This window comes from Homo sapiens, chromosome 1 (assembly GCF_000001405.40).
Source record: "Homo sapiens chromosome 1, GRCh38.p14 Primary Assembly".
Classification (NCBI taxonomy): domain Eukaryota; kingdom Metazoa; phylum Chordata; class Mammalia; order Primates; family Hominidae; genus Homo; species Homo sapiens.
In genome coordinates this window covers 204081402-204106919 of record NC_000001.11, presented here as the reverse complement: position 1 = coordinate 204106919, position 25518 = coordinate 204081402, and the positions used below count along the sequence as shown (strand labels likewise).

The 25518-nt window shown below is 50.8% G+C and overlaps 1 protein-coding gene across 4 annotated transcripts in view, besides 4 other annotated features; it reads right to left on the bottom strand.

Annotated features, from left to right (window-relative positions):
- The window catches only part of SOX13 (SRY-box transcription factor 13), a 54629-nt gene that overhangs the window by 20824 nt on the left and 8287 nt on the right, over positions 1-25518 (bottom strand). The window lies entirely within an intron of this gene.
- Positions 13389-13533: an enhancer, noted in NCBI's record as "145 bp enhancer 209 fragment used in the MPRA reporter construct; PK_construct_1793". NCBI's record gives its function as "activates an SV40 promoter by MPRA in HepG2 cells {active_cell/tissue: HepG2}" and the evidence as "EXISTENCE:reporter gene assay evidence [ECO:0000049][PMID:23512712]".
- Positions 13455-13468: a transcriptional cis regulatory region, noted in NCBI's record as "HNF4 motif; enhancer activity is reduced when this motif is scrambled". NCBI's record gives its function as "necessary for full MPRA enhancer 209 activity {active_cell/tissue: HepG2}" and the evidence as "EXISTENCE:site-directed mutagenesis evidence [ECO:0005528][PMID:23512712]".
- Positions 19245-19789: an enhancer, noted in NCBI's record as "H3K27ac-H3K4me1 hESC enhancer chr1:204056259-204056803 (GRCh37/hg19 assembly coordinates)". NCBI's record gives its function as "activates a minimal SCP1, AML or CMV promoter by ChIP-STARR-seq in primed H9 embryonic stem cells {active_cell/tissue: H9 hESC(primed)}" and the evidence as "EXISTENCE:reporter gene assay evidence [ECO:0000049][PMID:30033119]".
- Positions 23848-24775: an enhancer, noted in NCBI's record as "H3K27ac-H3K4me1 hESC enhancer chr1:204051273-204052200 (GRCh37/hg19 assembly coordinates)". NCBI's record gives its function as "activates a minimal SCP1, AML or CMV promoter by ChIP-STARR-seq in primed H9 embryonic stem cells {active_cell/tissue: H9 hESC(primed)}" and the evidence as "EXISTENCE:reporter gene assay evidence [ECO:0000049][PMID:30033119]".

Here is a 25518-nt window from a genome sequence, read left to right as displayed (position 1 = left end):
CACCAGACCCTATCAGAGTGCCTATTTTACATTCTCATGGCACTTTGAACTTGACCTTAAAAGTATTTATCACAATTGGTAATGATACCTTTACACGCTTAATTTATTTTGGAGTCGCTGGGCGCGATGGCTCACGGCTGTAATCCCAGCACTTTGGGAAGCCAAGGTGGGCAGATCGCCTGAGGTCAGGAGTTTGAGACCAGCTTGACCAACATGGTGAAACCCTGACTCCAGTAAAAACACAAAATTAGTCAGGTGTGTAATCCCAGCTACTTGGGAGGCTGAGGCAGGAGAATTGCTTGAACCTGGGAAGTGGAAGTTGCAGTCAGTTGAGATCACGCCTCTGCACTCCAGCCTGGGCAACAACAGCGAAAACTCCTTCTCAAAAAAAAAAAAAAAAAATTTATTTTGGAGTCACCCAGTAGCCAAAAATATACCTGTTTCTGCTCATCACTGTAGCTCCAGAGCCTAGCACAGTGCCTGAAACACAGTAAGTGCTCGATAAATATTCTTAGAATGACAAGAGAGTGACAGAGTTCAGCAGCACAGCACAAAGCAGGTCTGGATGCTTAACAGGTGATGGATACTGTTAGGACTATTAGACAGCTCCTGCTCTCTCAGGTTTTTCTCCCACACCCAATTATCCTCTGCTGCCTCTTCCTTGGGTCTAAGCTCTTCCTATGAGTTACCTAAATACCCCCAGCAGCAAAGCGATTCCATTTCCTTTTCTTTTTACCTTGGGTCGGATAAGAAACACTTTCCATACTTTTTGGATTTAAAGACCCCGTTGGAGTCCTCCCTTAAGTCTCCCTTTAGACTTTCCAGAAACTAAAATAATCCCTCAAGTTCCTTTACTCCTTTGTTACACAGCATGCTCCTTGCTTCAGTCATTTTCCATGTGGCTCCGCAGGAGGTTTTAAGGTCAGTAACCTCAAACTCCACTGTCCCAAAATGCCCAGAAGCCAAAGAACGCTGGGTCCACAGGATACAGGAGTTACTGGGCTCCCTCAGTTTCCACCCTAGTCTGATGCCTTGGTACTGGTCAGAGGCCACAAGTCCACAGGGTAGCCCGTCAGCCCCTCGCTTGGATGGAAGTGCTCCTGCGTGCCCAGTTTCCTCTCTTGCCCAACCTCAACACATTTTATAAACAGAGAAACTGAGGTCAGGAGATGTTGAGTTCACGCAGCTTTTGGGGCAGCACTGCTTCAAGACTGTATAGAATGGCCGGACTCATATCTGTAATCCCAGCACTTTGGGAGGCTGAGGCGGGTTGATCACCTGAGGTCAGGGGTTCAAGACCAGCCTGGCCAACATGGTAAAACCCCATCTCCACTAAAAATACAAAAATTAGCCAGGCATGGTGGTGCATACCTGTAATCCCAGCTACTCAGGAGGCTGAGGCAGGAGAATCGCTCAAACCCAGGAGGCGGAGGTTGCAGTGAGCCAAGATTGCACTGCTGCACTCCAGCCTGGGTGACTGAGGGAGACTCTGTCTCAAAAAAAAAAGAGATTATACAGAGTCAGAGGCCTTCAGCCAGCTGGGGCGCTAAGCGGCATCTCTGCTCTGCCCTCCCTTCCTTCTCAGGAACCCACCTCACAATCCCTCTTCCATTCTTCTTCCTCTGTGGTCTTATCTCACCCAAGTGAGCATCCTTAAGAAGTGAAGACCTCTAAGGAGAGGGCTCCAGCCATCTTCGCCCTTGACATGCAGAGCCTTGAGTCTCAGCTTGTGCCTACCAGGCCCCGAGGCCCCCAAATCCAGCACCTGAGACAAGGTATAGAGAGGCACCCGCCTCCATGGAGGGACAGTGGCTCAAAGCATGGCGCTTATATGACAAAGCCCGCTGCAGGTGCCGATCCTCTTCCTCTCTCCTCCCCACAACCAGCCCTGTCACGGCCCCTCTGAACCCCACCAACCCACAGGCGCACACAAACCTAGCCCCTTTCTGCCCAAAACAAATCACCAGCCACTTCCTCTTCTAACCAGTCAACAACTGACCCTGTTGGATTGGAATCAAAGGAGTTTTTACTGTCAGTCCTTCCTCCCTCCACAACGACAGCCTTCCCCCACCCTACAAAAAATATCTAGATGAAGATAAAGATAGAGATAAATTCCAGTCATCGTAGCATGACGGGTGACTCAGACCCTGGGGTACAGGAAGCCTGAACAGACAGGCAGACCCTCTGAGAGGGCCAATGGCTACACTTCCCCGCTGGGCACACACTAATCCCCCTCCACTGCTGGCTCCCACTCCCAAGCTTGCTCTGAGTGGGTGGTGCCAAGGGGCATCACCAGGGAAAGAGATCCATGCAGCAGGGGTGGGGCAGGGCTTGAGTCCCAGGGGAATGCCACTTCCTCTGAAAGCCCCCAGAGAGCTGAGAACCTCAGGCTGCCCTAAACAATAGGCCAAGGCGTGGGTGCCCAGAACAGTGCCCCGGTGCCACATCCTGCCATTCTTCTCACAGACCACACCCTGCCACCCTTCCTGGCTACACCCGATCCTATCTCTAATGTTTACTCAGAGCTGGGAGCTGGACTGGCTGCAGGCTTGGGACAAAGCTTTCCTGCGAGTCCCTCTCACCCTTTCCAGCCTCTGTGAGCCCTGGGGGGTATCAGATCCAGGGCACGGCCGGTCTGGTCTAGCCCAGCTCAGGGGGGCCACAGCCAACACTCCCTCGGCTGTTTCCAGGCTGGTCAGGGTGGCATTCACCTGGTAGAGTGGCCAACATCAGACAGAGGCTGGGTCAACTCCCAAGCATGGGAGAAGAGGCACTTCCCCACAGCACCTCAGGTACAGAATCACAGTCCAGCCTGAGCTTCTGTGGCTGCCGGGACTCAGCTGACCCTGGCCCAAGGGCACAAAGGAAAACAGTGGCCAGGGAGAGACTGTAGCTGTGATGTTCCCACCTGGTCCTCAGGCCTCAGAGGCACCTGAGTCTTCTCCCAACCCAGTGAGTGGGTCGAGAAAGAGACAGATGGGACTGCTTGAAAGCGCCATTGAGGCTCCCAGTGTGATGTGTGCCTCCAGAAGGTCCCAAACCGAGAAGAGGTCAACAGTGTCTCTAGGAGGCCCTTCTCTGGAGGCCTTCCTGCCTCTAGAACCCAAGCCTGTCTCCAGGTTCTCCTGCACCCCAACAGTGCTAGAAGGCAGGGGTAGGCCTCATCCTTGTTTCCCAATGGCAAGGCCAAGCCTGTGTCCTGGACAGGTGAGCACATCTGGCTTCCTGCAGGGACAGTGCCCAGCCTAGGGCTGGGAGATGCAGAAATTGTGCAGCTGAGGCTGACTGGCCATGTCAAAGGCCCCTTGGGGGATAGCCCTGAATACTGACCAAAGGAATGGGAGGCAAAAAGCAAGCATGCAATGCTACAGCACTTACTTGGCTGCAAGCACTAAGTGAAAGGCTCTTCATTCACATTCCTGCTTAATCCTCACAAGAACACTACAAAGACTAAGGCTCGGGGGCTAGAACGTCCTACTGAGGGCCCAGCAGAAGTAGCATTTGAACTCAGGCCTCGCTGATGTCTAAATCCACATCCTTTCATTTATCAGCTGATGCCCTGGCCACTCTCCTCGGTGCAAAATAACAGGCTCTGGTCCAGCAGAGATAGAATGGCCACTGTCTTCACCTCTTACAGGATTGCAGTTGTTTCTGACTTGAGTCATAGCCAAGGAAAACTTAGTCAAAAGAAACCCAGGCAGCTCTGGCAAGTTGGGGGAAAGACTTCACCTCTCAAAACCCCCATTTCTTCATGTGTAAAATAGAGATTCCAAGAACTATTTTGTGAGTAAGAGATAAGGTATAATTACAGAATCTGGTACAGAATATATGTTCAGGGAAGGAGGTAAGGAGAAAGAGCCCTAAAGCAGGAAGGAGTCCCTCTCCCTCCCTGCCCCCAGGGCAAGGGGGAGAAGGACTCACACCCTATTCTCCTCCCCAGCCAGCCCAGCTCTTCCGGAGGCAGGTGGGTGGGTGTGATGACCCAGCATTGCTGGGAGGCATCCTGGTGTGGCTAATGGAAAAAGGACTTTGTCACATGGACCTGTGTCTGAAGACTGGCTCTATTATATACCACTAGATGTGTGGCCATGGGGAAGTTTCAGTTTCTCTATCTCTAAAATGGGAACAAATAACACCTACCCCATAGAGATAGAGAAGACTGAATATGATGGTGTTTGTGAAAATCAAAAAAATGTTTGCTCCCTGACCCACCGCCACCCCCTTCCCCCACATGGTCAAACAAGCAGAAGACATGCACCTGCAGAACACCAGGGCCCGCCACCCTCTTCCTCCTCCATCTGCTCCATGTAGGTCTCCCTCCCTAGCCTAGGTTATCAGTTTTCTGAATGCCCTGTTGATGTCCCCAACCACCCTGGAAGCCCCAGCAGGTGCCCCACAGTGCAAACAGGCGGAAAGGCTACAAATCTGCCAAGGAAGCCCCACATTCGCAGCGCCACCGCTTATCTGGCCAAGCCACGGTGCCTTCCCTTCCCCGGCTGATGACACAAAAGCTCTGCAGAACTCATGAGCTCCCTCATTTCCTCTGGAGCCCACAAGGGTGAAGTGCTATATCATTAACCCTTGCGTTCTCCTGCCAACCCCAGAGGGAGAGGAAGGTGGGGACCATAGGGATGACTACAGACAGCGGAAAGGACAAGCGCAACTAGTCTGCAAACAGCCATGTTTACCCGCCAGGCTGATGAAATCTCACCTTTGCCAAACACTCCTTCTCCCAGTACTGGGGTGGGCTGGGCATTATCGGCTTTTGCTTTGTGACAAGTCTAAGCCATGTAGACTAAGCCCTCATAGTACATGGTGAAATGAGGCTCTGGGAGACACGCAGCATTGGTTCAAACCCAGCATCCGTCTTAACTAGCCAACTAGTTTAACTCTCTCAGCCTCACCATGTTGCCCAGGCTGGTCCTGAACTCCTGGGCTCAAATGACCCTCCTGCCTTTATCTGTAACTGGGGCAAATAGTAATATATACTCACTAGTGGGGTTTCAAAGAGTAAACGAGATAACACAGGCAAAGCCCAGTGCCTGGCACACAGCCGTGATGAACAACTGTAATGGGCATTTTACCATTGTCATCTAGATTAGGAGGTGAAGGGTGGAAAATTGGGAAGCAGCTGGGCTCTAGGTAGCCCAGTGAATACTTGAGACTTAACCTCTTTACACCTCAGATTCATTGTCTGAAATGGGGGCTAACAATACCTACCTCTTATGCTTGCTAGAGAACTGATAAGTTATTATATAGAAAATACTTAGCCCAATGCCTGGCACAAAGCAGATTGGCACTTAGTATTGTGGTGGCTGAATGAAGGACTGTGTTTCCAGGAAACCTCTACCAGCCAGACCACTCAGCCCCAAACCAGTATGTTTCCAAGGCCTCCTGCCACTTTTTTTTTTTTTTAAATAAAGAGGGAATCTCGCTATGTTGCCCAGGCTGGTTTGAACAGCTGGGCTCACGTGATCCTCCTGTCTCAGCCTCCCAAAATGCTAGGATTATAGGTGTTAGCCACCGCGCCCAGCCATCTAAGGCCCTTCTTAAATGCATTTCAAATATCAGCCTCTACCCATCTGTGAGCCCACAGCCCACTCCCAAAGTGGGCACTTCCACACAGCATCCTGGGATCCCAAGGGCTCAGGAAAGGTTTCTCTCCCCTTCCCACCTCAGGCACCCAACTCATTGCAGAGGCAGGAGAAATGGGTCCACGATCCAGATGGGTAAGTGGTACAAGAAAGGAAGAGAAGTCAGTAAATTTCATTCACCCAGAAAGCCACCAGGCAGTGTTGACAGGAGCACAGCCTTGAATGCAAACAGTCAGCAAACAACTTTGGCCTCCTCCTCTCCTCCCTGGGATTGTCTCCCTAACACTCCAGAAAAAATATATACCTTGACAGAAGGTCTAGGGGCTCCCTAAGAGATTCAAGCATCCAGCTCCCAGCTTGGCCAGCCCTTGAGGAGGTGAGCAGCAGCTCTATGATCATGGCAGCCAAGGCTCTAGGCCAGACTGGCACACCGGCCTCCCGTTGGCACAGCCCGCTTAAGCCTAAGGTGTCCCCCATCCCAGGGGTTCTTGGTGGAATGACACTCATGCCTCATGTAAGCCTAATCACCACCAGCTCCCCTAACACAGGCTCGCTCATCGGACACCCCAGTTTAGCAGCTCTTCCTCAGGCAGCATTCATTCTTCCAGTGAACAACGCGTTCCGTTCTTTTTCTCTCCAAAGGCTGCGTTTCCTCTCCCATTATCTACCCTATCGTCAGCCAAGCCCGCCACTAAAGCAAGTTTTCTTTTTCGATTTTGTTATTTCATGGTCCTCTTTATTTATGGGTGGCTGTTTGTTTTTCCTGGCTTTGGCGCCTTTTCAATAAGGGCAGGGAAGGAAGGGGAGAAGCAGCTTAATCTACTATAATGCTCATCAAACAATCCCCAAAGCAGCCAGCTTTCACCCCAATCTGCCCAGCACCCCGCTTTCCATCACCAGCACCCTTTGGAAACTGAGGCAGGACCACATCAACCAAGACTTGGCAAAGGGGTAAGATGAAATACAACCCAGGAAGGGATCCTGACACGTGGAACCCACAATACTAATAATAGTAATGAATAATGGTGACATTCAAGACTATTTAGCAAGGGAGTCATGGGCACTGACCAATCCACTGAGGCTCTTGGGACAATCAGATGAATTGGCAGTTGCCAGCCACAAACAACTGGCTGAGTCACACTAGTATGTGGTGAAAGACCCCAATTATGGCTAACTTTACTTTTTAGAGATGGGGTCTCACTCTGTCACCCAGGCTGGAGTACAGTGGCACAATCACAGCTCACTACAGCCTCTCAACCTCCCAGCCTCAAGCAATCCTCCCACCTCAGCCTCACAAGTAGCTGGAACTACAGGTGCATGCCACCATGCCCAGCTAATTCATTTTTTATAGTGACAGGGTCTTGCTATGTTGCCCAGACTGGTCTTGAACTCCTGGCCTCAAGCTATCCTCCTGCCTTGGCCTCCCAAAATGCTGAGGTTATAGGCATAAGCCACCATGCCCAGCCTATGGCTAACGTTTATTGAGCATTTACTATGTGCCAAGCACTGTTCGAATCACTTTTACTTATATTAATTCATTTAATCTTCATAATAATCATCTGAAGTAGATCATATTATCATCTCCACTTTACAGATGAAAAACCTGAGATGCCGACTGGGCGCAGTGGCACACACTTGTAATCCCAGCACTTTGGGAGGCCGAAGTGGGAGGACTGCTTGAGCCCAGGAGTTCAAGACCAGCCTGGGCAACATGATGAAACTCCATCTCAACAAAAAATACAAAAATTTGCCAGGTGTGGTGAGGCATGCCTGTAGCCCAAGCTACTCGGGAGGATGGCTTGAGCACAGGAGGTTGGGGCTGCAGTGAGCCATGATCATGCCACTGCACTTCAGCCTGAGCTACAGAGACCCTGTCTCAAAAAAAAAAAAAAAAAAAAAAAGCCAGAAAAAGACACTGAGACACCAACATGATTTGAGCCCAGGCAGTCTAGCATCAGAATCCACCTCTCAGTCAGACCATAGGAATCAACTACTTACATGCTAAGCATAATCTATAAGGATTTAGCCTTTTAATTCCTTCATTAGTCCTGTGAAATAGCTACTATGAGGACACAGAGGCCTAAGGAGGCTAAGCCATTGCCCAAGGTCATAGCCAGTGAGTAGTGACCAAGAAACTGAACCCAGAGACTGGCTAATGAGTCTCTTCTTTTAAGTGTTGGATTATACTGGCTTCTCTTCTACTAGTCAGAGGTCCCAAGAGCCATGGAAGTTTATCTCCTGGAAACCCCACTGTCCCACCTCTGCTGGGCCAGTGCTGCTCCCACAATGGAAGTCAAGGGAACCAGGCCCTTGGCCCTGGTACGGATGATGCAAGGGAAGTAATAGTCAACCTGGGGCAGGAAAACCCCTGGTTTCACAGGCTACAAGCTTCGCTCACTCCTGCCAGCTATGCCAAGGGACCAGGTGAACATGGGTGAAGAGCTCAATGGAGCCTGCCTGCGCCACTTGCAGAGACAAGGTGACTCAAGGCCAGAGTCCTACCCACGGTATCTTCCCCATGAATGAGGCTTCTCATGAACAAAGGCAGCATTCTGGAGGGCTCCAGGCTGCCCAGACCCTGACTCCCCTTACATTCATCACCCCTCTGTGTTCTGGCCAGTCCTCCCCACCACCTAACCCCACACCTCCCTGTTAGCTTCGCATTCATTCCTGAACTTTCAATAGCATCAAGCAGAGCTGAGTGTTCAGTAGACCCTGGCAACACATATGCCTAATGAATAGTCGTAGTCACTCTTATTTTATCAGTTTTTTCCTAAATATAAAAGGAGTGTGTGCTTACTGTAGAAAATCAGCAACAACAACAACAACAACAACAAAATTTTTTTTTTTTTTGAGTCTCGCTCTGTCACCCAGGCTGGAGTGCAGTGGCACCATCTCAGCTCACTACAACTTCTCTGCCTCCCCGGTTCAAGCAATTCTCCTGCCTCAGCCTCCCGAGTAGCTGGGATTACAGGCATGCGCCTCCACGCCCGGCTAATTTTGTATTTTTAGTAGAGATGGGGTTTCTCCATGTTGGTCAGGCTAGTTTCGAACTCCTGACCTCAGGTGATCTGCCCGCCTTGGCCTCCCAAGGTGCTGGGATTACAGGCATGAGCCACCGTGTTCAGCCAATCTGCAAAATTTTAAATAACATAAAGAAAACAGGTTGGGCGATGGTGACTCACATCTGTAATCCCAGCACTTTGGAAGGTCGAGGTGGGTGGATTGCTTGAGTTCAGGAGTTTGAGATCAGCCTAGGCAACATGGTGAAATCCCATCTCCACAAAAAATATGAAAAAATTAGCCAGGTGTGGTGGCACACACCTGTAGTCCCAGCTACTAAGGAGGCTGAGATGAGAGGATCACTTGAGGTTGAGGCTGCAGTGAGCCATGATCACACCACTGCACTCCAGCCTGGGCAACAGAGCAACACCCTATCTCAAAAAATAAATTTAAATTAAAATTTAAAAATAAGAAAACAATTTTAAAAATCACCCATTTCACATCCATCCAGGAGGTGGCCATTGACAACAATTTGGCCTATTTCTATCAAATCTTTTTTTCTGAAGGTGGTTTTGTTTTTCATTCATAAGCAAGTTTTTTTTTCTTTTCTTTTCTTTTTTTTTTTTTTTGAGACGGAGTTTCGCTTTTGTTGCATTCAGGCTGGAATGCAATGGCGCAATCTCGGCTCACTGCAACCTCTACCTCCCGGGTTCAAGTGATTCTCCTGCCTCAGCCTCCCGAGTAGCTGGGATTACAGGCATGCGCCACCACGCCCAGCTAATTTTGTATTTTTAGTAGAGACAGGGTTTCTCCATGTTGGTCAGGCTGGTCTCAAACTCCCGACCTCAGGTGATCCACCCACCTCGGCCTCCCAAAGTGCTGGGATTACAGGAATAAGCCACTGAGCCCGGCCTCATAAGCAAGTTTTTATATTTATTTTCTCCCACTTAATAGTACACATCAGCAGTTTTCATGTTACCAAAAACTGGATATTAAAAATTATTCATAAAGCCATATTTAATGGCTGCACATCTTCCACTCTATGGCTGCATCATGATTTCCTTTATCCCCATGCCCCGTGGTTGAAATGATTCAACTCTTCCAATTTCACATTACTGAAACCTCCTCCTGACCCCTAGGGACATCCACCCTCCCAACACCTCTGCCAGGTCACAGCCACTCTGCTGCTGTGACAGGAGGGAAGGCAGGGCCCCTAACAGTCAGTGGACCTCGCCCCTGCCCTCTCTTGATGGACTGGAGACAAAGGGGTTTAGGACAGAGAATGGAAGCCAGGATGGGGCTAGAAAGCCTGGGCCCAAGGGGCTCTGCAATGCAGAGGCACGTATCAGTGTTTCTCAGGCCTTGACTTCCCCCTTAAAAGATAAAAAGCACAGTGGATTTTCACTTCATACCCAAGAGGATGGCTATTATCAAAAAAAGAAGGAGAAAGAAGAAGAAAAAGAGAAGAAAGAGGAGGAGGAGAATTGGCAAGGATGTAGAGAATTTCTGATGGGAATGTAAAATGAAAAGTGGTATAGCTGCTGTGAAAAACAGATAGAAGCCTGGGCAACATGGAAAAACCTCATCTCTACAGAAAATACAAAAATTAGCTGGGCATGGTGGCTCATGCATATAATCCCAGCACTTTGGGAGTCTGAGGTGGGTGGATCACAAGGTCAGGAGTTCGAGTCCAGCCTGGCCAACATGGTGAAACCCCATCTCTACTAAAAATACAAAAATTAGCCAGGTGTGGTGGCGGGTGCCTGTAAACCCAGCTACTTGGGAGACTGATGCATGAGAATTGCTTGAGCCCACGAGATGGAGGCTGCAGTGAGCCGACAACCCACCACTGTACTCTAACCTGGGCGACAGAGCAAGACTCTGTCTCAAAAATAAATAAATAAATAAATACAAAAATCAGCTGGGCATGGTGGCATACACTGTGGTCTCAGCTACTTGGGAGGCTGAGGTGGGAGGATCGCTTGAGCCCAGGAGGTTGATGCCGCAGTGAGCTGTGATCATGCCACTGTACTCCAGCCTGGGAGACAGAGTGAGACCCTGTCGCAAAAAAAAAAAAAAAAAACGAAAGAAAGAAAAAGAAAAGAAAAGAAAAATATGATGGCGGGTCCTCAAGAAATTAGATATAGAATTACCATATGATCCAGCAATTCCACTTCTGGGGATATACCCCCAAAACTCATAGCAATATTACTCACAACAACCAAAATGGGAAACAACTCAAGTGTCCATCAATGGATGAATGAATCAACAAAGTATGATATATACATGCAATGGAATATCATCAGCCCTAAGCTGGAAGGCAATCTTGACACATCTACGATGTAGACAAATATTGAAGACATTATGTTAACTGAAATAAGCCAGGCATAAAAGGTCAAATATTGTATGTGTCTACTTATGTGAGGTACTTAGAACAGCTAAATTCATAGAGACAGAAAGTAGAATAGAGTTACAGGGCTGGAGTGAGAGAGGAAGGGGACGCTATTGCTTAATGGGAACAGAGTTTCAGTTTGGGAAGATGAAAAAGTTCCATGGACAGATGGTGGTGATGGTTGCAAAACAATGTGAATGGACTTAATGCCTCTGAACTACACATTTACAAATTGTAAATTTTACATTATGTCTACTTTAATCCAATTTTTTAAAAGATGGAGAGAACAAAAAACTGCTAATAAGTTATGCTTTCAGGGCATCTTTAATCTGCAGATGGACAGAGGCGAGACCATAAACATAGCCTCACTGACTGGTGAGGGGACAACATGGGGGCAGCAGGGCTGGAGAGCGGCTGCCTTGGGAGAGCCTGTGTTCACAAGGCCATAATTAACATCCCTAATTGAAGTGTCTAGAAGCAGCAAGACCCAGACAGTGCCAGACCTGCCCGACCAACTAGAAGGCCTTCCCTCACTGCCTCTAGAAACAATTAAAGGCTTCCATGCGCAACCCAGAGACAAGGTGTATTTAGGATTTCTCAGCAGGGAGTTCAAGGGACCCAGACGACAAGAAGATGGGGATAGAGAAAGAGATTTAGTCTTCCCCTAAAATCAGTTCCTCGACTTTCCTGGAAATCCTTTCCCCTCGGATGTCCATCTTAGAGTTGGCGGTTTCAAGGCAACTGAACTGACGCCTGTTTACAGAACAGCTCTGCCCCTGCCTTGCCGTACAACCCTGGGAGACTTACTGTACGGCTCAGGGCCGTGGAAGGAGGTTTACTCCTGATGCCCTCCCCGCCTGGAGAGGACACAGCACAATGGTCCAGACTGAAGCTCTAAACCAGAAGGTCTGCGCTCATAGAAGGGAGTGGCAGGACGGGGGCCACTTGGGAAGAGGAAGAGGAACTGGGCAGCCTTCCCAGTTTGCAGGGACTCATCCATTTGAGGTCACAGATGCTGGCTTCTGTGGGCCACCCAAGCCATCCTTTTCCTTTTCAATGAATGAATGACAGGCAAGCCCCAAAATCCCACTAGCCCTAAGGTTCATTTGATGCTTCCATTTTCTGATTTGGTGCTTTACTGGCAAAAATTATCCCAGTTCCCACTTAACCAACAACACATCACAGGGTTTGCTGTGTCTACAGGAGCTGCCCGTGCTCCACGGTGTGATTAAGAGTGCAGGAAGAGCTGATGGCAGCCCGCCCCAAGGGAGCCTTGGGGATTTTCTATGGAGACTGAAAAAGCCACCGGCATCTTTGTTCATCTCTGTCCAAAGAGGGAGACAGATGAGCATCCCTTCCTGGCCCTCTCTCTGCCCGCATTGGGCCATTAGAGCTCCCTGCAGTGCTTCCCTTCCCCCACTGCCTGCAGTCCTGACCCGAGGGAAGGGGGTCAACAATGGGGTCACTGAAGGTGCCCAGCTCAAAACCAGCTCTGTTGCTTAGGAAGAATTTAACCCTGTCCCTGCTGGCTCATGACTCTCCACCTTCACAGATCTACCTGTATGGAGGGGAAAAAATAATTGCAGAGAGGGTCTAGAAGGGCCCAGGTGAGAGGTCTGCGTGTGCGGTGGAAAGAGCAGAGGGCTCGAGTTTGAGCGTCAACTCTGCCACAAACTCAATGTACAATCTTGGGCTCATCTAAGTTCTCTGAGTCTCATCGTTCCCATCCGTAAACTGGCAGTCAAAATACATGTACCAGATCCCTAGGAGACTCGGCACAGTTATTTTCTAAATGTCAACACCCTTTACACACTTGATGGTTTATAAAGCCCCATACATGTGTAAGGGATTTTGATGCCTTTAACTCACTATGGGGCCTGGGACAAACCACTCAACCTTTCAGGTCTCAGTTTTTCCATTTGCACATGGAGTGAATTATTACTTCTTCTCTGAGAGACAAAAGTATAGGCAGGGGAGGGCTCCCAGGCCTTTGATGCAGTGGAAATAATAGTGTTGCTAAGCTTCTGATTTCCATGTTCGAGTTGTAGCCCAGGGCAGGTCACATATGGAAGCCCCTCATCAGAAAGATAATGACAGTGCCTATTTACTGAGTGATCACAAGCTAAGCACTTCACAGGTGGATTTTCTTCAGGGACAAAACTCATTGTACAGATGAGGAAACTGAGGCTTACTTGAAGACAGAATTCCACTTTCGGTATGCCTGATTCCAAAGTTCCAAACCATAGCACAAGATATTTGAGAAGAGGCTACTTTCCACAGACACTCCAAATCCCAATTAACCCTCTCCGCCTGCTGGGCTGGGTGCCAAGGGGACAGCCAGTGACAAGGCTTCTCTGGGCCTGGATGCCACCCGCCACCATGGTCAGAGGGAGGGGTGGCCCCCCACACCCATGCCACCGCCTTCACTTCCTGTCAGGCCCCACAGGCATCATCCTGAGCACCCAGGGTCCAAAGGTCAGGTACAGGCTGTTTATTATTATAAATTGCAATTCACCCGCAGCTGGGTTTTGTGAATACGGTGGCTTCATGCCTCAAAGCAGCCCCTCAAAACTATATGTAAATTCCATAGATTTCACAGAAATCAATCCTGTGTAGTGTAGAACTGTCCCCTTAGTAACCAGTTAAGGTGGGAAGAAAAGGCAGTGTGCTCTGAGCCAGACTGTCATTTCAGTCACACCTGGGAACGCCCTACCTACAGCTAGCATTCGAGAAACAGTTTCTTTCCTTCTCTAGGCTGCTCCCTGGGGCCAGCATAGCGAGGTCCATGCCCCAGTCCACCTCCCCCACGTCCCCACGTCCCTATGCTGATACACTTGGGACAGCAGCTCTCACCCTTGCTTCTTTGACTGAATGGGGGTCACTCCAAAAACAGAATAATCACAGCAACAAATAGCCAACACCTGGATAAGATTCCCACGCACTATTCTAGACTCTTCTCATGTGACCCTTCTAATGTTCTCTCTTCTCAAGTGAGAGCATTGTGATTAATGGCATTTCAGTTAGGAAGCGGAAACACAGAGAGGCTAAGTAACTTGACCCGTGCTGCACAGCAAATCTGCACGTAGCAACCAAAGGAGGTGTTATAGGAGACAGTGCCTGTCCCCACCACACACCGGGAAGCTGATTCCCCTCCTTTCCCATACCCCATAAAGGCCATGCCCATGACCCTAGGAGGAGCAGCCCCCTAAATCCAAGTAGGCCCAGGAATGCTGGACTGTCCCCACCCCAGGACAGACTTCAACAACCACCTCCACAGCAGCCATCACACTAATATCAGCTCCCACTTACCAAAGCCTTCTATACTCCAGGTCCTATACTAAGGGCCATAATATATACATCACTTCATTAAATCCTTTTAATCTCTCAAAGTAGGTGTTATTCTTTTCCCACTTTGTAGGTGAGAAAACTAGGGTTTAAGAAAGTTCTGAGGCCACAAGTGGTGGCTCACACTTGTAATCCAAGCACTTTGGGAGGCCAAGTCAGGAGGACTGCTTGAGCCTAGGAGGTCAAGGCTGCAGTGGGCCATGATCATGCCACTGCACTCCAGCCTGAGTGACAGAGCAAAACCTTGTCTCAAAAAAAAAGAAAAAAAAGTTCTGGGCCAGGTGTGGTGGGCCTACACCTATAATCCAGCGTGCTTCAGGAGACCAAGGCAGACTTTGAAGACCAGCCTGGGCAACATAGCAAGACCTTGTTTCTACAAAAAAACTTAAAAATTAGCCATGTGTAGTAGCACATGCCTAAGTCACAGCTAGAATCACTTGAGCCCAGGAGCTCAAGGCTGCAGTGAGCTAGGGTCGTGCCACTGCACTCCAGCCTGGGCAACAGAGCAAGACCCTACATCAAAGAAACAAAGAAAGAAGAGAGAAAAAAAGTGAAAGAGACAGAAGAAGGAAAGCGAAGGAAAGAAAAAAGAAGACAGAAAGGACAGAAAGGCAGACAGAGAACGAAAGAAAGAATGAACAAAAGAACAAACAAATGAAAGAAAGCAAAGAAACAAAGAAAGAAAGAGCCAAAGCTAAGAAAGAGGTGGGGCACAGTGGCTCACGCCTATGATCCCAGCACTTTGGGAGCTCAGGTGGGAGGGCTGCTTGAGCTCAGGAGTTCAAGACCAGCCTGTGCAATATAGTGAGACCCCCATCTAAAACACAAACACACACACACACACACACACACGCACACGCACACAAAGAAAACGAAAAAAGTTCTGTTATTTGCCAGAAATCACAGGGCTCAGAAGCAGAGCCAGGACTCAAACCCCAGTCTGATTTCACCTTGCCCCCAGCCTTCCAACCCAAGGCTACAGAGATGGGAAAGAGGCTTTGTTCCCACAATGAACTGTTTCACCTCCCCAGAGAGATTAGAGCATCCCTGAGGGTGGGGTCTGATCCCCTCACCCCTAGCCTTGCCCAGTGCCTTTCACATAATGAGGGCTTGGTAAAGCTTATCCATTGGATGAGTATCTCATTCATTCACAAATATACCAAACCATTGGTTTTAAAAAGACATCTAGAGATCAATATTCCTCGATCCTGAACAATATAAGCATGCTCATGCTGGAAACTGCACATGCTGGATATCCCAGGAAAGCTGGCCACACTGATTCGTTTGGGTCCCAGTGGGACCAAAGCCGTGAGCAGCATGGGTCAGGGCAGACGAGGAAACGCGACTTGTCTTTTTCCCAGGGTGGCAGCCCTGGGAACCCACTAGCCCTGGCAGGGAAGGGAAAGTTGTCTCAGTTACCAGGCAGTTCAATACGGAAGGCAGCAAAAATGTCTTTGAATGGAAAGGAAAAGAACAGTGTTCTGTTGGAATTTTTTGCAGGACAATGAGAGAGCAGCTTCAGCCTGAATGAATGAGCCACCCATTCTGAAAGTTCTCTGACAGATCCTCTGGTTCCCCATTGTCAACAAAGTCCTAGCTCCTCGGCCCGTGTCCAAGGTTCCTTCTAACCTGGATGGTCTCCGCCTAACTGCAATCTAAACTAACACCATCCCTTCCCACCCCACAGGGCCTCCTCAGCCTCTGTAAGTCACCGGTGTTCCTTACAGCACCTGGTGCAAAGGTGCCCTACAGATGCTCATCTTAGCAGAACACTGGGCCCAGAATCCATGCTCAATACACACTTACCAAATTCACCCGTGCTGAATCGAATTTGAGTTCATCCTTTCCTGAGCCTTTGGCAAGAGTCTTGAGCTTGGCCGGGCATGGTGGCTCACACCTGTAATCCCAGCACTTTGGGAGGCCCAGGCGGGTGGATCACTTGAGGCCAGGAGTTCAAGACCAGCCTGGCCAACATAGTGAAACCCTGTCCCTACTGAAAATACAAAAAAGTTAGCCGAGTGTGGTGGCGCACACCTGTAATCCCAGCTACTCGGGAGGCCAAGGCAGGAGAATCGCTTGAACCCTGGAGGCGGAGGTTGCAGTGAGCCAAGATCATGCCACTATACTCCAGCCTGGGTGACAGAGTGAGACTACATCTCAAAAAAAAAAAAAAAAAAGAAGAAGAAGAAGTCTTGAGCTAGTCAGGGAGGAGGCAGTCAACCCAGAGAACAGAGAACAAGTAACCAGCCTCAGGGTTAAGTGGCCATCAGCTCAGTGTGGAGGATAATAATAGTTCAAACCTCACAGCTGGAAACCAGGCCCATGCTCTCCCTGCCTAACACCCTCTCTCCCCGACTGCCCAACACACACATTCTCTGTGCTGGCTCTACCCAGAGTCCCACCAGAGCTTCTTATCCTTCCAGTGAATCTGCCCTTCAACAACCATCCAATGGCACCCAGCTTGAAGATGTGGCTGGGATGCAAAAAACCACTACCGAAGGGTTCACTCTCCCCTAAGCAGCCTGGGCTCCCACCAGAGGCCCAGCCATAAGGCAGAGGCCCCGGGGGCTTCAGCCACCACCATCCTGGTCGGAGAGAGTTCCTCCTACCAGAGTTCCCTGCCCTCTGGCACCATGGCCCTCTACGCAATGCTGGCCCCTTGAAGACTAGATGATGTAGCTACTTCTAGTCAAAGCCACAGTTGGGAAGAGAATGAGGGAAAATGGGAAGAATGAGACCAACTTACGTGACAGGTGGATAGAGATAAGGGACGCACCTCCAGGAATGGGGACCAGTGATGAGCCCTGGGCAATGTGGAGGCCAGCTCAGGGGAGAGGGTGCCACAGGTGCTGCCCCTGCCCTCTCTTCCGGGACCCCCTGCACCCACACAGCCCTGGTGCCCGCAGGGCTCTATCTACTGCCCTGATCTCACAGCCGCCAAGTGAAATTCCACCAGCTCAGCACTTTTGCAGAGAGGGGGTTGTTTTGCTTGTGCACCATTCTTTCCACAGGGTGGCCGCCTTGCCTGCTACCCCTCTTCCGGGGTCCCCTCACACAGCTGCTCCCCTGTTCCTCGGAGGGATCTCCCCAGGCCCCGCTGCCTCAAGAAACTATGATTTTGTTCCAGGCATCACTGTCCTGACCTCATTTCACAGAGAGAAATCTGGACCCTGAGGCCGGCGGGCATGAGAGTGGGAGGGAAGCCCATTCATCCTGCTCCCCAGGGCTGTCTGGGCTCGCATGGGAATGCCATGCTGTCCAGAGGAGTGCCTCCCCACACGGGGCTGGGCTCAAAATGCCCTGTGCTAAAACCGTCCTCTAGCGCACGCCAAGACACCACACACTCAGTCATAAAATTGTTGATCTGCTCCTCTTTCCTGTCCAGCCTCTTCCCCACCCCCCCATGCATCTTCCCCCAACACTGGAGAACAGAATGTGCTTGGCTGGAGACCCGGATGTAATAAATTGCTAGTAACAGAGACTCAATCTGAAAAACAAATTAATACAAGGCCTAGCTCTTCCTTTCTGCTCCTCTCATTCTCAACACTGTTTCCTGCAAGGCCAAGCAGAGAAAGAAATGCCTCCCTGGTCACAATCGCTGAGAGGGAAATTGATTCCTCCCACCCTCTGGACCACTGGAGGCTCCCCTCAACCCACCAGCATCTCCCTTCATGAGCTCAAAAGCCAGGTCCCGAGGAGCCTGCACAGTATGTATTTGTCCGAACTCTAATTGAGCTTTCACTTCACATTTAATGGGTACCTGCTGAGTGCCAGGCATGGTGTCCTGATCCCTGACGAGGCGAGGTGGTGGCCGCTGGGGTGGGATGCAGAGGGGAGGCTGGGCCTGTGCATCCAGCCGTCTGTGCTAAGCCCAGAGAGGTCAGGTCTGATCTCATCTTATCAGATCAGTTCAACAGCAGGAATGACCCCTACCCCACACTGACTCTGTTCCCAGTCACCTACCCCCAGTCTGGGAGTGGGGGTAACGGGACAGGAGTGAGAAGGCACAGACAGGTGCAAAAAGGCAGAACCAGCCATCTCTGGAAAGAACAAGAGTAAAAGGCAAATCTGAATGTGCCTGGGGATAGATTATAAAATTATGTTTAGTGTACTGGTTATATGCAAATGCCATGTAAATATGGACAAAGCCCCTGGAAAAATCCGAGTGTCCCTGCTGCTCTTTCTGCCTCGCTCTCTTTCTTATTTGGGCAGTTTCCAAGGCTACGTAGGGAGTCATCTGACCACCTGGCTAGGAGAACCCAGAGTAGTGTCCCCAGCCGAATCGACCAGCATCCCCTTTGCACCAATGCCTCTCCTTGGTCTCAGCCCACTTTGTGGCTATCTGAGAAACATGACCACAGGGGAAGAGAAAACAGGGCTACGTCCACAGCCAAGGTGGGAAGTGAGGGAGGAGAAGGTAAATGAGGGCCCTACAAGCACACATCCTTCCAGATCCAGTCTCAGGATGGTTCCCTGTGACTGTCTGGAGACCCAATGGGCCCTTCCCATCACCATTTCCCCAAAACCAATGGCAAGATGCCAGGGCAGGAGGCCAAGGGACTCTAAAGCAAGATCCCAGTGTGGGCTGTCACTTGTTCTGAACAGAGTCAGACATACCGCATAGACCAGCCTCATCCCTGCAGATCCACAGCCAGGTGGGACTCTGGAAGCCCCACTACCTAGACAATTTCCAATATCCTCATCTGCCAAATCTGAGGAGTAGATGCTCCCTGCCCTTCCAAACTAGAAGGTTTTATGAGGTACCCGAGACAAGCCTCACAGAAGCATCCTGTGCGGGGCTGTGGCAAAGTGTCTGACTCCACATCCGGGCTTTGAAACTGCAGCAAAAACTGCCAGTGTGGTTGTCATCATCCTCATCTAACTCTATTTCCAGCAAACCAGAATTCTTACTTTATAGCAAGAGAACTCAAAATGCTCCTTCCCAAGTTGCAGATGGAGGAAGTAAGGCTCCAAGTGGCTAAGTGACAGCCCTGAGGGCATACAAGCCATTAGCAGTAGAAGCTAGACCAGGGCCTTAGCACTGGTGGTCCCAGCACCTCCCGGAAACACCAGCACAGACAGAAAGGGGAGATGTCAGGGTGCTCCCATAAGAAAAGGTGGGACAGGGGGGCCTACTGCCTCATGCACAGGGAGCAGGCCCTGGGAAGCTACAGGAAGGTCCTGGAACAGATAGCTGCAGCCACCATGGAGTCAGCAGGGTCCAGCTGGTGCCCCTGGGAAGGCAGGCACCTGACCCCTCTGTATAAGGCGAGCAGTCCTAGGCCTCCCAGCCTGACTTATCTACCCAGGTGATGGGCAGCCTGGCCCTTTTGCCTCTGCAGAAGTCATGGAAGGAAGGAGAAAAGCTGGGCGCGGTGGCTCACGCCTGTAATCCCAGCATTTTGGGAGGCCGAGGCGGGCAGATCACAAGGTCAGGAAATCGAGACCATCCTGGCTAACACGGTGAAACCCCGTCTCTACTAAAAATACAAAAATTAGCCGGGCCTGGTGGTGGGTGCCTGTAGTCCCAGCTTACTCGGGAGGCTGAGGTAGGAGAATGGCGTGAACCCGGGAGGCAGAACTTGCAGTGCGCCAAGATCGCGCCACTGCACTCCAGCCTGGGTGACAGAGTGAGACTCCGTCTCAAAAAAAAAAAAAGGAAGGAGAAAGACCATTGTCTCCTTGTTACAGATCTAGAGACCAAGGCCCAGACAGGCTTCGGACATGAGCCAGATCACAGAGGGACCCTAATAGCTACCATTTACTGTGAGCCCAGCACACACACATCTTTCTCTAATCCGTACCATCACCCTGCCACAAGGGAGAACCATTACGCCATTTTATGGATAAAGAAAATATGGCTCAAAGAAATTAGGTAAATGGCTCCATATTTAGAGTCAAAACCCAGAAACTTCCAAACTTTCTGACTCTAACACCCCATGATGTTGTCACTAAACTATCCTGCCTTTCTAGAAGTTGAAGGCAGGCCAGGTGCAGTGGCTCATGCCTGTCATCCCAGCACTTTGGAAGGCCGAGGCGGGCAGATCACGAAGTCAAGAGATAGAGACCATCCTGGCCAACATGATAAACTCCTTCTCTATGAAAAATAGAAAAATTAGCTGGGTGTGGCAGCACATGTGTGTAGTCCCAGCTACTCGGGAGGCTGAGGCAGGAGAATCTCTTGAACCTGGGAGGCGGAGGTTGCAGTGAGCCGAGATCGCGCCACTGCATTCCAGCCTGGGCGACACAGCGAGACTCCATTTCAAAAACAAAAAAAATTTTTTAAAAAGTTGAAGGCTACTCCAGAGTGTGCAAAGCTGAGTTATTCATAATGCAGTGAACTGAGGAGGGGGAGGGAAGATAGACACAGTGATGGCCAAAGCTGGCACCCGACCCTGGAGGAACCGGCAAGGAGCTTGGGATGAGCCCCAACTCCTTTCCAGGCTGCACAGGCCCTCCACACCTGGCCCAGGCCACTCCTCCAGCTGTGCTCACAAACATGTACTTAGGACACATACTCATACTTTCACACCTCCGGGGTCTGGCTCACATGGTGTCTCTGCCTAGAAGGCTAGAAGGCACTTCCTACATTCTTTCTTTTCTTTTTTTTTTTTTTTGAGACGGAGTCTTGCTTTGTTGCCCAGGCTGAAGTGCAGTGGCACGATCACTGCTCCGCCTCCCGGGTTCACACCATTCACCTGCCTCAGCCTCCCGAGTAGCTGGGACTACAGGCCCCCGGCACCACGCCCAGCTAATTTTTTTGTATTTTTTTTTTAGTACAGACGGGGTTTCACCGTGTTAGCCAGGATGGTCTTGATCTCCTGACCTCGTGACCCACCTGCCTCGGCCTCCCAAAGTGCTGGGATTACAGGGGTGAGCCACCAGGCCTGGATCTTTTTTTTTTTTTTAAATATGCACTTTCTGCTTTTGTAATTCCTACATTCTTGACCAGCGAACTCCCATACCTCACTCAAAACCCAGCCTAGATGTCCTTTATAAATCCCTTCCAAACAATCTTAGAAGAGTTCATTATTTCTCCAGGGCATCCTAGAGACCTTGGACATCACTGGTGTCCAGTACTTAACCAACCTGCCATTATTTGTTTACCTCTGTACCCGCCAGACTCTGGCTAGATTTGAGCCCTTAATATGCTCTCAAGAAGAGGGACAATAACAGGCATCTTTTAAATGGCCCTTACTATATGTCGGGCAGTTTTACATCCTTTCTCTATACTTTACATCTTTACATTTCACCATCACAATAGCCCCATGAGCCTGTGGCAGGTACAATTGTTATCATCTCTATGGTTAGGCTAGATTACTTACCCAAGATCACACAGACAGTCTGGCTCCAGAAGCTGCCTGTCTGTCTGTGCTGGTACTATATTATTCTCCATGTCCTCCCCAGTCCCTAGTGCAGTGGCTGGCACACAGTAGGTGCTCTGTAAAGGTCTGCTTTAGAAATAGGTAAGGAGGAAGGAGGGTTGCCACACCCTGGCCACCTCCTGCCCTAAATCCCACCTGGAATCCCTTAAGTCTCATCTTAGCTTCCATCACTCCTGACATTCACCACGTCTTTCTTCCCCAAATCTCCAGATGCTTTTCCCATCTCCCATCCATTTCATGTTTGGGTGTCCCAGTGGGAGAGATCTTGCTGTCTTTCCAGCAGGGAAACTGAAACACACAGAGACCTCAGGGCTGGTGGATTCGCTCAGAGGCAGATTTCCTACCTCTCAGGCTAATGCACCTCACCCCCACATGGTCTAGTCTCACCTCTGTCTCAAGCAACAACAAACCCTGAGAGGCAAGGGGGTGAATCTGGAAGACAGCATCCCCTGGCTGACCTGGTCACTGATCTCTGGGCGGGGCCTGAGAGGAGGGAGGAAGGGGCTGGCTCCCTGAGGCCAGGGAGGAGGAGACAAGAGGCCCTTTGTGTCTACAGAGCTCCTGAGACACCTGTTCTCGCCTCCTGCCTGCCTGTGGCCTCCCTCCCGGCTGAGCCTGTGTGCGGCCTTGTTTATCCTGCAGCCCTGGCAGCTAGGCCCAGCCTGCTCCCAGCATGGGGCTCCAGCAGCCCCTGCCAGCACCTGCCTGGTCCTGGCAGCCCTGGAGGCTGCTGGCCAAGCACAATCACCCTGCTGTTGACACAGTTGTTGATTTTCAGGAGGGTAGGGAGGGACAGGAGGAGAGAGGCAGCAAAGGCATTTAATGCCAGCCTGGCTAATTTGCAGTTGGCCCTAGCAATCCTGCACCCCCCACAGCTGCCTGGGAGAGGCTTGGGGTTTCAATCCCCTGGCAGCTTGGGCCACACACCACAGAGTGCCCAAGTCCTGCTTGAACCCACAGCACCACACCACAGGCAGGGCCCCCACGTATGGTAGTGCACACCAAAACCCATGCTGCCCCGTGCTTGCACACACGACTTGTAGCTGAATAAGGCCCCTGAGCTCTGGGAGCCCCTGGCCACCTTGTCTTCAAATGCCCAGCACTCACTCTTCCCGCAAAGTCATAGTGTGCCTGGGTCCTTAGTGAGGAATAGGACCATCTGACATGCCCTTAGAGGCCCAGGTGGGGCCCCTGGGAGATGTGGAGGGGACCTACCCTTATGACCTCCTCTTCCCTCTGACCTGTTCTCCTCCCCACCCTCCAGATCTTTATGTTATGTCTTTCAGGGAACTTTTCGTGGGTGCTCCCGAAACATCCTGCCCTGTCCCTCCCTCCCCTCAGTTTGTCAGTACTGGTATCAGTTACTTACTTCACTTTCTCCAAGTTGTGTCAGGGCTATGCTGGCTTCATGGTCTTTCAGCCCCAGCCCAGGGTGGCCCGGCATAGCCACAAGGCAGGTGCTCCCTACATACCTGCCTCAGGGACGGAGGACCAGAGAAGGCCCCCGCAGTCCCCAACATCCACTCCATCTCCACCTCAAGTTCTTGCTTTTCAATCACCTCTTGGATTAGTAAGGCCCCGCGGCTGCTTAAAAGGCCAATGTGCTTCTGGAGTTACCTGTTAATCTGTCCACACACCTAGATTGGTAAAGCTGACTATCCAAGCTATCTCCTTAGAGATCAAGGAGCACGGATCCCGAAGGGCAAGGAATGGATGAGTTTAGATGATGGGAGATAGAGAGAGGAAGGCAGGGATATAAAGAAGACCCTGTGGGTTGAGGAAAAGCAGAAGGGCCTGGGGCAGGGGTTGCTGTCAGGTGAGGCAGAAACTTCCTCTCTTCCCCACGTGCCTCCTTTCAGTCTTACCTGCCCCATCTGAGAGCTCCTAAACCCCATCAGTCCTGACTCAGGAATCAGGAGGCTCCTTACACCTGTGGCCAATTGGCCCAAGAGGACTCAGGCTCAATAAAGGGTGTCAACAGTCCAACAGACCCTCTCTAAACTGCCAAACACACCAACACTCACACACAACCCCCTTCCCCACTACACACACAATTCTGGTTCTCCAAACTTCAAGTTAATCAGTGCCCAGAAAAGGGTAACACAGATAGCCAAAATGAGCCCCAAATGGAGGGTGCCACCATGGTGAGAAGTACGGATCTAAGGTCAGGTGAACCCAGTAGAAGAGAAGGGGAATTTACATTATGAAAACCAAAGGTCCCTGATGCTTTCAGCCAGTTCCAACAGGCTATCGTGTACAGTTGTACAGACTGTGCACTGCACAACTCTAAGAAAGGCCCATTCACCTAGACTTGTACACCCATTTCAAGGATTCTCTGGCCGAGAGCAGTCAAGTCCATCCCTTGTCTACTCAGATATCAAACAGAAAGCCCTCTTGCTACCCACCTCTACCCAAGTCAAGATTTGACACAGGTCCCCTTTCTCTATTCTCTGACCCTGTTTCCTGTTCTGGTCCCTAGGAGTTTACTGGATAGGGAGGAGAGGCCTCCTCTCCCTGCCCCACAAGCCCCAGTTAGGGAGCCCACCATTGGGTCTTTCTCTACCTCTCCTTTCTCTTCCTCAGCCCCTTGCCCTGGCCAGACACTCCCATATTAAGTGCTCCCGGGCGAGGGGGATGGCTGGGGTTCCATGACTGCCCCGGAAACAAAGTTGACAGCAAAAGGAGGGAAGGGGGTGATAGCCCACTACTGCTCCTCCCCAGGTATACTGGGATTGAAACCCCAACGTGCTTGGGGCACCAGAAGCTGGCTGTTCTGACTCTTCCTTTTTCTTCCATTCTACTCTCCCTTCCTTCTTGACATCCGTCTAATGTCCTCACTGTCTCCCTGGAGTTCTCGGAGGCCCTGCCTGGTTCCCATGGGTTGGAGGAGCCTGGCCAGGGTCTCCAGAGCACAGGCCCCTGCCTGCCTGCACACATATGTGCACACACACACACACACCACACCTGGCCCTCCACACACACACATCACACTCATAGATACACACATCACGCTCAGCCCTTCACAAACACACACACACCTGGCCCCCCACACATACACCCACACACACATCACACTCACATTACACTCACACACACATCACACTCAGCTTCCCTCCCCCCCACACACACCCCACCACCAGCCAAGAAAAGAGGAGCCGGGCAAGCCTGAGAAACAGCAGGGGCTGAAGGGGCCACTCCCTCTGCTTTCGACAGCGCCCTATTCAAGCCCCACTGCCCTCACCCCACCTGCCTCTGAGCCACGGCTGTACCTGCACACAGGCTTCCTTCCACCCCTCCCCACTACATTTTATTCCCCCTTCTTTCCCCACCCTACCCCACCCTCATGGAACAGGCCAGAACCAAAACCTCACAAGGATGGTTGAGTGACTTCAGACTCCTTCAGTAGGGCTGGAGGGTGGGGAGAGGTTGTTCGCATGAGGGTGGGGGACCTCATACCCCACACAGGCTGAGGGCTAAGACAGAAAACCCTCCTCACCCTCCACTCTGAGGAGTGCCAGGTCCTGCCTTGTGTGGCCAGGCAAGAGTTAATGCTTTTAAGTCAGTGTGAGGGCAGCTCACGCCAAGGCTCCCCTCCCTGTCTAGCCTTTCCTAGGCGCCAGGGCCAAAGCAGGAGGCCCCATGAGTCCCAGGCAACCCCCCAACCCCCACCCCCAGAGCCCGCCAGGGGGTCCGTGGGGCCCACTCAGTTGTCATCGTGAAAGGGCATCAGCCCAGTCTGACACATTTGCACAACCACTCTTCCTGCCACATCCCCTCTTAGCGCTGGTCAAACCGTGAC